This window comes from Homo sapiens, chromosome 2 (assembly GCF_000001405.40).
Source record: "Homo sapiens chromosome 2, GRCh38.p14 Primary Assembly".
Taxonomy (NCBI): Eukaryota; Metazoa; Chordata; class Mammalia; order Primates; family Hominidae; genus Homo; species Homo sapiens.
In genome coordinates, this window is record NC_000002.12 from 34,117,534 (window position 1) to 34,133,598 (window position 16,065).

General features: G+C 39.7%; 1 long non-coding RNA gene across 1 annotated transcript in view, besides 2 other annotated features; it reads left to right on the forward strand.

Annotated features, from left to right (window-relative positions):
* LINC01317 (long intergenic non-protein coding RNA 1317) overlaps positions 1-16,065 on the forward strand; it is a 590,861-nt gene that overhangs the window by 410,648 nt on the left and 164,148 nt on the right. The gene's annotated exons all lie outside the window — the stretch shown is intronic.
* Positions 4,501-5,700: an enhancer, noted in NCBI's record as "MED14-independent group 3 enhancer chr2:34347101-34348300 (GRCh37/hg19 assembly coordinates)". NCBI's record gives its function as "activates an origin of replication core promoter dependent on BRD2, BRD4, P300/CBP and CDK7 cofactors, and independent of MED14, by STARR-seq in HCT116 cells {active_cell/tissue: HCT116}" and the evidence as "EXISTENCE:reporter gene assay evidence [ECO:0000049][PMID:35650434]".
* Positions 14,921-15,422: an enhancer, noted in NCBI's record as "NANOG hESC enhancer chr2:34357521-34358022 (GRCh37/hg19 assembly coordinates)". NCBI's record gives its function as "activates a minimal SCP1, AML or CMV promoter by ChIP-STARR-seq in primed H9 embryonic stem cells {active_cell/tissue: H9 hESC(primed)}" and the evidence as "EXISTENCE:reporter gene assay evidence [ECO:0000049][PMID:30033119]".

The following is a 16,065-nucleotide window of genomic DNA, read 5'->3' on the forward strand; positions in this document are numbered from 1 at the left end:
AAAATCCAGATGCTGATTCAGAAGGTCTGGGATGGAGCTGAGACTCTACATTTCTAATAAGCGCCAGGTGATAAGCAAGGCTACTGATAGGCACCTTGGATGATCTGCATTGAATCACACAGGGGGTCTCCCCTCATCAGAAATTCTGAAAGTGGGGATCAGAAAGCTGCATGATGAATAGACATTACATAAAGTTCTTAAAGAGAAGTTTAAGAATCATAGGTATGGCACATACATTGTTATTCGCAAATTTCAAACAGCACAGTAGCATTGGAGTCTGGGAGAGAATTTGTTTCCTTCTTTAAGAAGAAAGAGTAAATCGCCTTCCAATTTGGAAAAGATAACCTCTGTTTTTAACTTACAGTGTACAGAAATCATCACAGTTTTAAACTTCCAGCTTCTTTCTTGCCCATAGTGGAACAGAAGGGTCAGCCTCTGAAAAGAAGAGCCAGAAGAGAGATTCTCTTTGTCTCTGAAATACTTGCTCAAGTGTCTGATTGGGAATTGGAGGAGGCTGAGAAACATTCTTTAGGTCAAATAATGCACTGTTACCCTTAAGGATTATTTGAAATAAGACAAAATCATAGAGATCTGCTTGATCTCAGGGTTATGTTAGATTTTTTTTTCCCCAGAATTACATCACTTGTAGAGTTTATGGTCTGTGGGCCATTTCTCTGGCTGGATAATCAAGCTCTTTGAATAGGGTCAAAATCTGTACATTCAAGGTAAAGTAAAAAATTACAGCAGTCATCCATATTGATTCAGGCAAATAAGTTTCCCTGGAAACATTCAGAAATTATGAGAGAAAAAGGTTTCTTTTTTGGTTTCAGTAGTTTGTAGAAATACCTTGAGACTCTCACATGCTTTTGTGTATAAATTCAGTCATGTATGATTATGCATACACAATGAAGTATTTTTCTTCTGAGTAATGTTTTATCCTTTCCCTGAATAAATACCCTCTCTGAAAATCTTCTTTGATTTTAGTTTAAAAATGGGCCTTTGATAATAAGTTCTGATTTACTTGAGGTTTTCTTTATGCATTTTTTTGTTTTTGTTTTTGAGACAGAGTCTTGCTCTGTGGCCCCGGCTGGAGGGCAGTGACACAATCTTGGCTCACTGCAACCTCCACCTCTCAGGTTGAAGTGATTCTCTTGGCTCAGCCTCCCAAGTAGCTGGGACTACAGGTGTGTACCACCATGCCTGGCTAATTTTTGTATTTTTAGTAGAGATGAGGTTTCACCATGTTGGCCAGGCTGGTCCCGAACCTCTGACCTCAGTAATCTGCCCACCTTGGCCTCCCAAAGTGCTGGGATTACAGGCCTGAGCTGCTGCATTTGGCCATCTTCTTTATGTGTGTATGATGCATTATGTTTCTTGTTTACCTCTCCCTTTTTGTCATTGCTTGGTTGAGTGAGGCTTCTTGCTGTTTTTTCCTAGCTTCCCTCCTCTGTTTGTTGGAAAGTATATGATCCATCTTATTCTTTTAGTGATTACTCTAGCTATTTTAACATGCATATTTGTGAAAGTCTAGAGTTAGCTAATATTTTTCTTTTCCTCCAGAATTACACAAGCATCTTCAAGTATTTAACTCTGATCTTCACCCTTACTGCTTATGTGTCATTGTTGTTCAGTGTTTTAATTTTCCCTGTATTATTGCTACCCGTGGCTAATTATTGTTGCACTCGTTGAGGTTGTTGTTGCGGTTGTTGATTTATGCAGTCAATGTTTGTTTAGATCTACCCACTTATTTTTCATTGTTACTGTTGTTGATTATTTTTCTTCTACTTTTAAATTTCATCTGGGATTTTTTTTTTTTTTTTTTGGTCTGAAGTATACCTGAGGAATTTCAGATAACGAGGGGCTTTTGATGATAAATTCTTTGTTTTTCTTTGTGTAAGAATGTCCTTATTTTGCTTTTATTCTAAAAGTTCAGTTCCCCCCTTCCCAAGTTGCATAGGGATGAGACAGAGGCAGGCCCGGATGAATGCTGCACACACAGTGGATCTATGTCACAGCTGAGAATGGTGAGCCCAAGAAACTCTCAATCATATAAAGGCATCTCTAGCAAGCCTGCTCATCCTCCTCTCTGGGGACACACACACACACACACACACACACACACACACACACACACACACACCCCAGAGAAGGGAAGGAGAGGTCTTTATTTTCCTGAAATATTCCAGGGAGGGAAACATTATTTATCTTCACTTTCGTGAAATACCTGTCAATTCCTGGATGTGGAGAAACATGAGAGATTGATGGAGAATTGTCACCTAAGACATATGTTCAATTCATTACAGTTATAAAGCATTTCCACATCTGTTATGAGAATTTAAATGAGAATGAGACTGGGATTCTGTCCCTCACAAATCTGACAGCAGGTTGAAGGGGGGAGACAAGGGAAACATTCAGAATGATTTGATCCAAAGGAAGTTACCTGTTTCTAGGACTTGAGATTTATTTCAGATGAGTAAGATTAGAGAGAGTAAAAATGAACTTAGCCCAAGCAAATAAATGTTACAAATGTCTACTGAATGGATGAAGTTTTCAAAACTTGAAAAAAATAAAAAATTTCGATAACGTACTCAATCTAAATATCAATTTAGAATTATGATTTTACAAATTAATTTTTATTGACAAAAGTTGTATATATGTATGTTGTACAATATGATATTTTGAAGTACATATTCATTGTGGAATGGCTAAATTAAGATAATTAACATATGTGTTGCCTCATATTTTTTGTGGCGAGAACACTTAAAATCTCTCTTGGCAATTTTCAAGTATATACATTATTTTTAACTATGTATTATGTCACCCTGTTGCACAGTAGATGTCTTGAACTTATTCCTTCCGTGCAAGTGAAATTTTGTACAGAATTGTGATTGTAAGGGATGGAATTTACTATGGCCAAATAACTGTATACTGAAGCTATTCACTGTTTAGATTGTAAACATAAGCATATGTTGGATATTAAAACTGAAAAGTCTTTGATAAAAATGGATAGTTACATGCATATGATCAATAATAATTACCACAGGTTATTCAATAGATATTTAACTACTGTGCTGAGGTAGACTTCAGTTGTTTTGCTAAGTCTAAAAAAATCTAAAAGAAATAAGACTAAATCCTTGACCTTGATGTAGGCTTGCAAGACTAAGACCTTAATGGAGGTGAGTATGTGCATGCTAGTGGTAGAAGGGCCACTGTAGATAGAAGGTAGTGAAGCTAAGAATGACAGTACCATGTGTCTATCATCTTGTGAAGGCACGGCTTTAGGCAGAAAACTTAAACTACCCTCTTTTGATAGGGATGCTAGGGAAGCAGCTTCATTGCCTTGGGATTTATGCTCTGAGAAGAGTGAATATCCAGACGTGAACCCTTGAGTGATGCCATGTTTCAGTCTGCAGCTTATTAGACAAGATCTAAGAGGGTGCAAAAATTACACCTCTGATGTGAACTTCAGAGATCAAAGCAGATCATCTCAACCAGATTATGTAGACGTTTAGATGTTCTTTGTTTTTTTTAACCCATGAACAGTTAATAAAATCAACTGTTAGTGTTCTAAGTTTGACCAAAGTGCTCTAAGGGATCTTAAGGGAGAAGATTTCCATTCTTGAATCGGAATATCAAAGGGTGAGTAACACTTTCTAAGAATTGTGTTGTGCTCGTAGCAGTCCCTCAAGAGATTATTTCCCAAAGAAACCATGAATGCTTGACTTGGCACTACACCAACCAGACTTCCCTCTGCTTCTAGAAGTTCCCCTTTTTAAGACCAAAACTTGCTGGGTGTGTGTTTTTATAAAAATGTATTATCTTCTCTGCAGTTTCAAAGTATGATATCATTAAATAATTTAGAAGGCAAAGAAAAAACAAAAACCATCAGATCTGGTTAATAGCAGTAGAGTGACAGAGCATCTGTTCTTTTCCACGAACTGTTATCCTGTCAGAAACTCCTCATTCCTCAATCCTCACCTCTTTAACTGTGGTAGGTGCAGTAATGCCACTCTCCACAAAGATGTACATGTCCTAATCCCCAGAACCTGTGAATGTGTTACCTTATATAGCAAAATGGACTCTGCAGATGTTACAAAGTTAAGCATCTTGAGATGGGCAATCAGTCCTGGATTATTCAGGTAATATAATCAGAAAGGACCTTGTAAGAAGAAGGCAAAAGAGTCAAAGTAAAAGAAAATGATCTGATGATGAAAGCAGAGAGGAAAGACAGAACATGTGATGAGAGAAGCAGAAGTTGGAGTGATAGAGTTTAAAGATGGAGCATGAAGCCACAAGCTAAGGAATGGGAGGTTGCCTCTAAAGCAACCTAGAAAAGGCAAGGAAACTGTCAGAGCAGAAGGAATGCAGCTCTGCCAACCCTGCTAGTGGGTAAGACCCATTTTGGACTTCTGACTTCCAGAACTATAAGAAATTAAGTTTTTATTACTTTATGGCACCAAGTTGGTGGCAATTTGTTACAGCAGCTCTGGCAAACTCAAACAGTAACCATGCTGTGCTTCCTGGCGGAGTGGGCCTACTCCTGTCTGACCCGTGATCATTCATTACAACAATCTCTGCTATTATTACCAAGAAGAAATTTGAACACAGGAAACCTGACTGAAAAGAAAGTAGGAATGAAGAGGTGAGCATGATATAGTACGATGGCTTTTTCACATTAATTTATGAGGAATGGCCTGCTAAAAATATTTTTCATATTTGTAATTGTCAATTATATGAAAAGCACTCTAAACGTTACATTTTGCAAACTGTATTTATAATTATATATTTAATACATTTAAAATAATAAAATTTTGTCTACGTGTGACTCTTCTAAAAGTTCCAGCCTGTATATAGGACGAGAAAATATTTTAAAGCCTGAATTATTCAATTAAACTAAAAATTTCCAGGCTTTCATTTTGTAATGCCAGGTTACAACCTTAATTTAAAATTCTCTATCCATTCAACTTTTTGCAGATGTGTATTTTCTCTATTTTTTCATATGCAGGAAAATGGCTTTGCTTCTGATCAGTACTATGGAGAAGAAAAGCATTTTGCTTCATCCATTTTGTGAGTTTATATTTTGGTGTCAGAGATAACACTCAAGGACTTGGAGTTCAGAGTATCAGTCACAGAGCAATATTTTCTGAAAAAAATTAAAAGCGATTTTTTTTCTCACAGGGAAAAGAGAATACATAGAGTATGCAGGGAAGACAAAGAAGGTATGTAGGAGGGGGTGGTGTTAATGGAAAAGCAGTTGGGAAAACAGATTAGAGTAGATCATAAGTGACCCCCAAGTCTAAGTTCTGGAAATAGTTTCATGAATGAGTGTCTTAGTTCAAGCCCAAAAGCCATAGATCAAGTGGTTTACATCACAAACATCTATTTCTCATGGTTCTGGAGGCTGGGAAGTCCAAGACCAAGATGTGAGCTGATTTGTGTCCTGATGGGATCCCTCTTCCGGTTTGCAAATGGCTGCTTTCTTGATGTATCTTCATATGACACAAAGAGAGATCATCTCTCTTGTGTCTCTTCTTATAAGAGCACTAACACTATTATGAGATATTCACTCTTAGGACCTAATTATCTCCAAAAAGCTTTATCTCCAAATACTATTGCACTGGGGATTAGGGCTTCACCACATGAATTCTGGGGGGACATAAACATTTAGTCCACAGCAATGAGAGTATAGTCATAAGCAATCTTAATGATATTTGCGGTGTTGTTTGTTCTTTTGTACATACTTAAAAATCATGTATCAAGGTGATTGTATTGTTTTCAAACTCTTACATTCCACAGTTTTAACTAGGAAACAGGGGAGACTGCAATGTCTTAAATTAATAATGAGTTTTAATTTATAATGTATCACTGAATGGTTGTGGGACTCGTAATTCCTTTACTTATCTATTGCTGATGATTCTTTAACTTTTAGAAGTTTCCAAATTTTGGTGTGTATGAAAACAAATCACCTAGGGAGCTTGTTTAACTGACTCTTACTGGATATGTTTGAGGATGAGGCCCTGGTATCTTAATTTTTAGTAAATACCTCAGGTGATTTTTTGGGTGGTTGTTCCACAAACCACACATGAAACAGCAACACCGGTCTCCCAGCCTCCACCCCATGCCCATTCTCCTGAAGGCAGCCTTCTGAAGTTGGGATGCAAAGCCTGTTGACTTGCCACATAGAGGTGGTTCCTATACCAGCAGCATGAATATCACAGGAGAGTTCCTTAGAATTGTAGACACTCAGCCACATCCCTGACACAGAGTCAGAATCTGCATTTTAACAAGATCTTAGACTTGAGTGCAGTGGTGGAATTGTTCACAAGCACATTTAATTTTGAGAGGCACCATCCTCCTAGAAATTAATCAGCCTCCCCACCAGTGGTTCTCAATCCTCTAAGGAGCTCTGAAAAATTACACAGATTCACTTCAGGCTCACTGACCCTTCAGCAGTACAGAGGCAGGAAATAGCTTTTTAAAAAAGATCCAAAGTTGACTCTTGTGCACGCCCTGGTTAAAAACAATTGCTCCGTAGGGCTTCTTGGCAAGTCAGAACATTTGTGATGACAAAAATCACACCAGATCACTCTGAAATCTCAGTTTTCCTTTGTGATGTGACAGCCTAAATTTCAGAGCAGACATTTGTATTACCTCAGGTAGCCTTTGTTCTTTTCAGCTTTCGCGTCCTAGTTGTCACACTGGGAGAACTCAAAGAAGTCAGAGAGTTTTCATCTCTGTCTTGCGCCCTCAGGGGAAGGCTGATTTATTCCCAAGTTCTGCCTCTTTAATTTTTTTTTTTTTAAGTTGAAGGCTGTACTAGTGTAGGTCAGCAATTCATAATTCACTCTGAGACTGGGGAAAGGACTTTGAGGTCCTCATTTTCTTTAGGACTTGAGTGGTAGTTTGTTAAAACTCCAGAGCTGTCAGCCTTCCCTATAACTGTGGTCCTTATAAATATGAGGAAATAATGAAACTTTATTAAAGGACAATCCAGGCATGAATCCTTAACTATTTTATTTAATGGATCTTGTATTAAAGTAACTTTTGAGACACTCTGAGGTAATTTTTAACTCAGCCATTTGTGAGGTAGTTTACTGAAGGTATTTTAGTTGATAACTGAAAGGAACTCTGAATTATGGCCTTAGTTCAGATATGTCCTTAACGACCTACCAACCAACCTTTCATAGGTAGGATCTGAACCAACCGAGGGCAATCAGATCTTTGCTTGATGGTCTGTGGCTGAATCAACTTGCTACTTTTCCTGAATCCTGGAAAAGATACAGGAAATTGGGACCGATTATTTGAGGAAGTTCTGTTGCTGGTGAGGAAATTCTGTTGAGTTCTGTAGGAATTTTTATAGCTTGTTTTGCATTCAGTTCTATCAACAAGCCAGCAGCAACTCAAAGGGAAGCCTCCTTCTGGCATATCAATCACACAGGCACATAGGATCATATAGCATATAGGATCAGTCCCAAGAAGAACTATGGGGTGGGGGAGAGGTTTTTCTTCCACTTCTTGGATTCAGTGACTTTGAGATGGACCTCTTTTTTCCTGTGGACAAAATGTCATCACACCAACATCTTATTGCCCATGCTCTTCACCTTGTCTATGTTTTGGAATGGGACCATGCTTAAATAAAATTGCTTCTTTCCATGATAATGCATTTTGGGGCTGAGGAAACTATATGCCTTTTAAGTAATCCTTGCTTTGCCCTAGCCTGCTCTGCCCCTCCAAAGTCCGGCCTCAGCTCATAGTTTAGAAGGCATTAGTTTTAAGCTGAGGAGTATTAGAAAGTAATCTTTATGGTAAATGGTTTTTCCCTAAAGGAGGTGGCCTACTGATAAGTGAGAGAATAATATCCATTGGGCCATCTTGCCACCTAGGGGAACCCATTTGCTTTGAAAATAAGAAACATCTCTTTCAGCAGGCGGTGATTTTCTTCAAGGATTTTATAACAAAGATAAAAATTGTGGTTGACAAGTGTGATGGTTAATATTAGGTGTTGACTTGGTTGGATTGAAGAATGCCTAGATAGATGGGAAAGTATTGTTTCTGGGGGCGTCTATGAGGGTGTTGCAGAGGAGATTAACATTTGAGTCAGTGGACTGGGAGAGAAGACCCACCCTCCATGTGATTGGGCACCCTCCCATTGGCTGTCAGGGCAGCTAGAAAAATCAGACAGAAGAAGGTGGGATATATTGGTGTATTAGTCTGTTCTCACACTGCTAATAAAGCCATACCTGATACTGTTTAATTTATAAAGGAAAGAGGTTTATTTGACTCACAGTTTCACATGGCTGGGGAGACCTCACAACCATGGGAGAAAGTGAAGGAGGAGCAAAGTTACATCTTACATGGCAGCAGGCAATAGTTGTGCAGGGGAACTCCCATTTATAAAACCATCAGATCTCATGAGACTTATTCACTACCATGAGAACAGTGAACAGTGCTGGGGAAACTGCCCCCATGATTCAATTATCTCCACCTGGCCCCACACTTGACACATGGGAATTATTACAATTCAAGGTGAAATTTGGGTGGGGACAACACAGGCAAACCATATCAGTTGGCTTGTTGAGTCTTCTGGCTTTCATCTTTCTTCCATGCTGGATGCTTCCTTGAGCATCAGATTCCAGGTTCTTTGGCCTTTGGACTGTTGGACTTACACCAGTCATTTTCCAGAGGCTGTCGGGCCTTTGGCCACAGACTGAAGGCTGCACTCTTGGCTTCCCTACTTTTGAGGCTTCTGGACTCAGACTGAGCTACTACTGGTTTCCTCCTAAGCTTGCAGGTGGCCTATTGTGGGACTTCACCCAGTCATTGTGTGAATCAATTTTCCTTAATAAACTCCCTTTCGTATATACATATATCCTATAATTCTCTCCCTCTGGAGAACCCTGACTAATACATAAACTTAGTAAACAGGGAAGTTTTCGTGTTACGTAATAAGTGAAATAACATGCAAAGTAGCCAGGAAAGCAGGTCTCTGCTGCATCATATTGATAAATGTGTTAGCATTTAGCCTGAAAAGGAACCTTTGCATATGACTGGTTATGAGACTGAAATGAGTTGAAGGAAGGAATAGGCACCAGGAGGAGGATCCTAACTTCACCACCAAGGTTAAGGATGGCGGCTCCTCTTCTGTGAAACTTTACCACGTGCTTTTCACAGCGGTAAGCCTCATATACTTTTTTGTCAGATTGGAATATCACTAGTGATTTTGTGCTCATGAAGAAGTACCTTGATTTTCTGAAGCTGTGATTCAGCAAATTATACTTGGGAGTCATCTAGTTTCAGTCACTTGGACCATGATTATGTCATATTATAGCAATTTTTATCAAGGAGTGGAGTGACCTGGTACAACACTTTGTGTTAACTTATTGCTGACTTATGTGACTACTTTGTAAGAGAAAAAGTAAAAATGTAAGGAGAATTTTGCCATTTTTAATATTTTGGCATTAGACAGTCTTTTCGGCTCATGAAAGTTGCTGAAGACTTAGAGAAATAGGTCTCCCTTCACAGTCAACACCAGGCCTGTTTCTCAGCCTATAGGACCTGATGCCTTCTGTTTTATCTCATAGATTTCCTGGGGCCTTCTTGAAAACTCCTTACCCACTGCTCTTTGGATCATGGCAACTGACATAGGATCCATTTGAATAATTCTACTTTCTTGCAGCAAGATTCCTAAGGCATAAATAAGAACTACTCTAAAAATCATATTCTTATTTCTGTCTTTATTTCTTAACCCTTATTTAGGGACATAGGTCTTTTGGAGCTGTATAACCCAGAATGAGTTGAAATGCCCAGAAAGAAGAGTGATATAGTAGAAAGAGCAGGGTTTAAAAACCAAATACTTGCATTTGACCAATTTCCTACCTCATATTTAACAGCTAGGAGAAACTCAAATTGTAATCAGAAGGGGGTATGTCTCTCTGTTCACCATAGCAACGCTAGGGCAGAGCAAACATGTAGAATATGATCCTTTGGAAAGATGTGTTGATTAGTTGACTAATTGACTAATTGGAAGATCCCATGAGATGTGTATGTAAAAGCACAGGAGAGGAACTAAATGAATGTTATTTACTTTACTCTTCTGGTTTGTGGGTGGTAAAAATCATTGTTTTCTGTGAACGTGCATCAGCCATGCAGTCCTGGTGCTCAAAAATGTCAGGGATCAATTTGTTCAGTAGCCGGTGTCCAAGGAGACAAAGTCCAGCAGGAGTCGTTGAAGAGATAGCATAGCCAGGTTTTTTTTTCTTTTTCTTTTTCTTTTATTTAAGTTTTAGGGTACATGTGCACAAAGTGCAGGTTAGTTACATATGTATACATGTGCCATGTTGGTGTGCTGCACCCAGTAACTCATCATTTAACATTAGGTATATCTCCAAATGCTATCCCTCCCCTCTCCCCCCACCCCACAACAGTCCCTGGTCTGTGATGTTCCCCTTCCTGTGTCCATGTGTTCTCATTGTTCAGTTCCCACCTATGAGTGAGAACATGTGGTGTTTGGTTTCTTGTCCTTGCGATAGTTTGCTGAGAATGATGGTTTCCAGCTTCATCCATGTCCCTACAAAGGACATGAACTCATCATTTTTTATGGCTGCATAGTATTCTATGGTGTGTATGTGCCACATTTTCTTAATCCAGTCTATCATTGTTGGACATTTGTGTTGGTTCCAAGTCTTTGCTATTGTGAATAGTGCCGCAATAAGCATATGTGTGCATGTGTCTTTATAGCAGCATGATTTATAATCCTTTGGGTATATACTCAGTAATGGGATGGCTGGGTCAAATGGTATTTCTAGTTCTAGATCCCTGAGGAATCGCCACACTGACTTCCACACTGGTTGAACTAGTTTATAGTCCCACCAACAGTGTAAAAGTGTTCCTGTTTCTCCACATCCTCTCCAGCACCTGTTGTTTCCTGACTTTTTAATGATCGACATTCTAAGTGGTGTGAGATAGTATTTTTTTTCTTTTTGTTTTCTCTTCATATGACACATTTTCAATTTCTTACCTAATCTTGGTTTATAATGACATTTTTGGAGGTTGGAGGGGAGAACTCTAATCAACACTATAGATACAAAAACTATGTAAAAATAAGGCAGATGTAGCTCTTTAATTTGACCCTTTCTGCTTGCTTCCATTTTATCTTTTTGTGTGTGTGCTGCCAGGGTTTCAGTCTTTACAAATCGAGAATGTAGAATACTAAGCATTCTGACAAGCTAAACCCACAGCATCAGTTACTAGCTATCTTTCTTCTGCTATCACTGAGCAGTTATTGAAGACTCAGTGTACAGGACTGTGCTAATTAGTGTATAGACTATGCAAACAAAAATTAGCATTGTAGAAGCAGTGAACAATATTAAGAGTGCTGCCGATCTGGATTTCTTCATTCCAGAAATGAGAATCTTGTCTGCAACGGTCTCCCTATGAAAATAGCAGGAGTTCTTTAATTAGAACTTTAGGGAGGCAGAGAAACAACTTGTTGGAAGTGACTAAATGCATTAGTTGTGAATAAATGAAAATAGTATATAATAGGCTGGGGGTACAATTGCTCAAGCCTGTAATCCCAGCACTTTGGGAGGATCACCTGAGGCCGGGAGTTTGAGACCAGTCTGAGCAACATAGTGAGACCTCATCTCTACAAAAAATAAAAAATAAAAGATGCATGGTAAATACATTTGAAACTATTCCTCCAGGGAGTATTGTAATAATTTTATTTATTATCCAAACATCATCTTCTGTTGAGCTCTTAAGGTAAAATTGCTTTCTCTTTTCTATCTTTGTTCAGCTTCTCTTAATAGTTTGTGGGGTGAGAGGTTAATCTTGGGTATATATGTTTAAATAGCTGAATGTGATCAACTATAAAGAAAAAAAAATATTAGAGCCTAAAAGTATTTGGTCAGCCAGATTAAGAAAAATCTTGTATCCTCAAGTATTCTGTTTCATCTCTTTTATGAGAAAATAGGCAGTTGTACTGAATTTGAAAAATGCTTGTTACATGCACGTTCTTACAGTCTGTAGGCTAGTTTAGTGATATATGCAGCTGTTGAGTCAAACAAGAATGACTAGAAAAAACTGCTGAAGCTCGATCAGTAATTGTGGATTAAAGTTAGTGACAACTAGCCTAAGGGTGGTTGTTGATAGTCCTAATGATTATTCAAAAGCATTGTAAAGCTTTTGAAGAATCTTTTTAATCTCTTCATCTCTCTGTTCTATTACTAATAAAATGAGGGGCTTTACTTGGATGAGGACAATACATATTTTATAGATTTGTATGGCACTTTACAGTTTACTAAGTGTTTTTACATTTTTCCTTTCCTGAGGTAAATTAAGGCTTTTTTTTTTTTTTTTTTTTTTTTTTAAGATGGAGTTTCGTTCTTGTTGCCCAGGCTGGAGTGCAATGGCATGATCTGCAACCTCCGCCTCCCAGGTTCAATCAGTTCTCCTGCCTCAGCCTCCCAAGTAGCTGGGATTACAGGTGCCTGTCACCATACCCAGCTAATTTTGTATTTTTATTAGAGATGGGTTTTCGCCATGTTGGCCAGGCTGGTCTCGAACTCCTGACCTCAGGTGATCGACCTGCCTTGACCTTCAGAAGTGCTGGGATTACAGGTGTGAGTCACCACACACAATCTTGGCTCACCGCAACCTCCGCCTCCCGGGTTCAAGCGATTCTCCTTCCTCCGCCTCCCAAGTAGCTGGGTTTACAGGCATGTGCCACAACACCCAGCTAATTTTTTTAAGAAATTTTATTTTTAGTAGAGATGGGGTTTCTCCATGTTGGTCAGCCTGGTTTTGAACGCCCGACCTCAGGTGATTCACTGCCCTCGGCTTCCCAAAGTGCTGGGATTACAGGCATGAGCCACCACACCCAGCCATAGGGGTGATTATTTAAATAAAGAGAATAACAGCTGTGTGGGATCTTGTGGTGGGGGCGAACAGATAGGGCAGCAGGCTGTTTAGGAGTGATTCTAATAATTTATTGTGCAGATTTGTATCAGGAAAGGAGACTCTCGAAGAAATAGTGGCGTTCAACATTAATGCCATTGAAGCCCTGGCCTAAATTCTTGCAGAGAAAATTATTCCCACTTTTAGAACTCACCTTGAACTTCACAATGACTGGAGAACCCACTTTACCAGTCTTTTAATAAAGCAGGTACGTTCAGTTTGGCCAATTTTACAGCATTTCCATTGTGCCTACTATCCAGTCTTCTGGCTCAGTAGAGCAAACAAATGGAACTATTAAAATACAGTTGGCCAAATTTATGGAAACCATATACCTTCCTTGGCCTAGAGTTCTTCCTTTGATATTAAATTTTAGAGCCACTCCCTTTAGAGCTCAGAAACTTTTAGCTTTTGAAATAATCACAGGCTCTCCTATATACTTCACTCCCTCTATTTTGACTCTCAGTTAACAGCAAAGAGACATACTTCAGTATTGCAAAGACATTATTAAAGTGATGGATAAAAATCATACTTTGGTAGAACAGTCTTCCCACAGTACTCTCCTGGGAGACAAGGACCTACAGTACCGTGATCTGTAACCTAGTGACTTTGTCTACTAAAAAAGGCACCTACATAAGGATTCTCTCAAACCACATTGGAAGGGCCCATATTCGGTCCTTTTCACCAGTCCCTATGCTATCAGACTCAAAGACATTGACTCTTGGATTTACATCTCTTTTTTAAAAATGGTCCCTACTTCTGACTGAAGCAACTCTCCAACAGGTGATTTAAGACTAAAATTTACCTGGAATTGAAGCAGATGATGTCTACAGTAGATCCCTATTTCAGGATGCCTAGATCAGGTCACTGTATTCTTTCCCTTTTATTATTGATCTCTTCTTATATGCCTTTATTTTCCTGGAAAGACAATGCTCTAATTTGCACTTTCCAATCTATTACAAGGAGGCGGCATTACTGACTGTTGGATTTGTTACCAAAAACCTTGATCTGTCATGATATAAGTAGACCTTTAGTCTACCCCATAACAGATTTTGTTAATGTTCCCAATGTAACTGTGGTTCCAATTTTGTATCCAGTCCTTTGTAAAAAGTCAAACTTTTGGACCCAGATATTGAGATTCCTGGCTTCACCCTAACAGTACCAGCAGTCTACATAAAAGACTTTGGAATTAGACTAAGATTGTGAAAGTAAAGGTATGGTATTAAGATTCAAGAGAAAAACAATTTGACAGATTACAAAAACATTGATGATCCTGGTCTTCTAATTACTGATAACCTCAAACAATGTAATAACTCAATAATAGAACCTTGGATAAATACCACTGACATCTCCCTATGAGTAACAATTAATACACAAGGTACTCCACATAGAATTAACTGTTATGTTTCATCAAAATACATTTTTATTTATGGAGGATTTAACAGTCAATCATAAGCATGGACAACATCATGTCTCAACAAATGGAAAATAAAATGCCAGTGTGGTTTAAGATATTTCCGGATTCAACACAAATTAACAAAATCTGAACATTGGTTGGTACCTTTTAACTTAACACCATTAAAAGATATACCTTACTGGGAGACAGAAATCCAGCGGGATAGGCCTCAGCTGTTTAGATACTTTTTCTCTTGGATTGCAGTTAACCACTTAAAAACAACGATCAGAAATTTATCTTTTTTTTTTTTTTTTTTTTTTTTTTAGGTCAGAGTTGCTTTATTACTACTCTGTAGAGGCAAATATGGGATAAAGCTCTCTTTTTCAGTATCAGTGTAATCTTTGCAAAAATAGAATTTAAAATACTGTATTAGACCACTCCTAAGACACTATAACAATATTTTGAGGCAGTGATTAAAATTACATACAGAAGTTAGTAGCTGGTACAGTGTCACTATGAATTTTACCTGTAAATGATAGTATGGACTCATTTCCTTTGCTGAGTGATTTTTGTTGTTAGAAAAAAATTCTAGGCCGCTTATTTGGCAGTCTCTCTTACCCAGATGAATTCTTTTTTTTTTTTTTTTTAGTATTTATTGATCATTCTTGGGTGTTTCTCGAGGAGGGGGATTTGGCAGGGTCATAGGACAATAGTGGAGGGAAGGTCAGCAGATAAACAAGTGAACAAGGGTCTCTGGTTTTCCTAGAAGGAGGACCCTGTGGCCTTCCGCAGTGTTTGTGTCCCTGGGTACTTGAGATTAGGGAGTGGTGATGACTCTTAACGAGCATGCTGCCTTCAAGCATCTGTTTAACAAAGCAAATCTTGTACCGCCCTTAATCCGTTTAACCCTGAGTGGACACAGCACATGTTTCAGAGAGCACGGGGTTGGGCGTAAGGTTATAGATTAACAGCATCCCAAGGCAGAAGAATTTTTCTTAGTACAGAACAAAATGGAATCTCCTATGTCTACTTCTTTCTACACAGACACAGCAACAATCTGATTTGTCTATCTTTTCCCCACATTTCCCCCTTTTCTATTCGACAAAACTGCCATCGTCATCATGGCCTGTTCTCAATGAGCTGTTGGGTACACCTCCCAGACGGGGTGGCGGCCGGGCAGAGGGGCTCCTCACTTCCCAGAAGGGGCGGCCGGGCAGAGGCGCCCCCCACCTCCCTGATGGGGCGGCTGGCCAGGCGGGGGCTGCCCCCCACCTCCCCCGGACGGGGCAGCTGCCGGGCGGAGACGCTCCTCACTTCCTAGACTGGGCGGCTGCCGGGCGGAGGGGCTCCTCACTTCCCAGACAGGGTGGCTGCCGGGAGGAGGGGCTCCTCACTTCTTAGAGGGGGCGGCTGCCGGGCAGAGGTGCTCCTCACATCCCAGACGGGACGGCGGGACAGAGGTGCTCCCCACATCTCAGAGGATGGGCAGCCGGGCAGAGACACTCCTCACTTCCTAGACGGGATGACGGCCGGGAAGAGGCGCTCCTCACTTCCCAGACTGGGCATCTGGGCAGAGGGGCTCCTCACATCCCAGACGATGGGCGGCCAGGCAGAGACGCTCCTCACTTCCCAGACGGGGTGGCGGCCGGGCAGAGGCTGCAATCTCAGCACTTTGGGAGGCCAAGGCAGGCAGCTGGGAGGTGGAGGTTGTAGCGAGC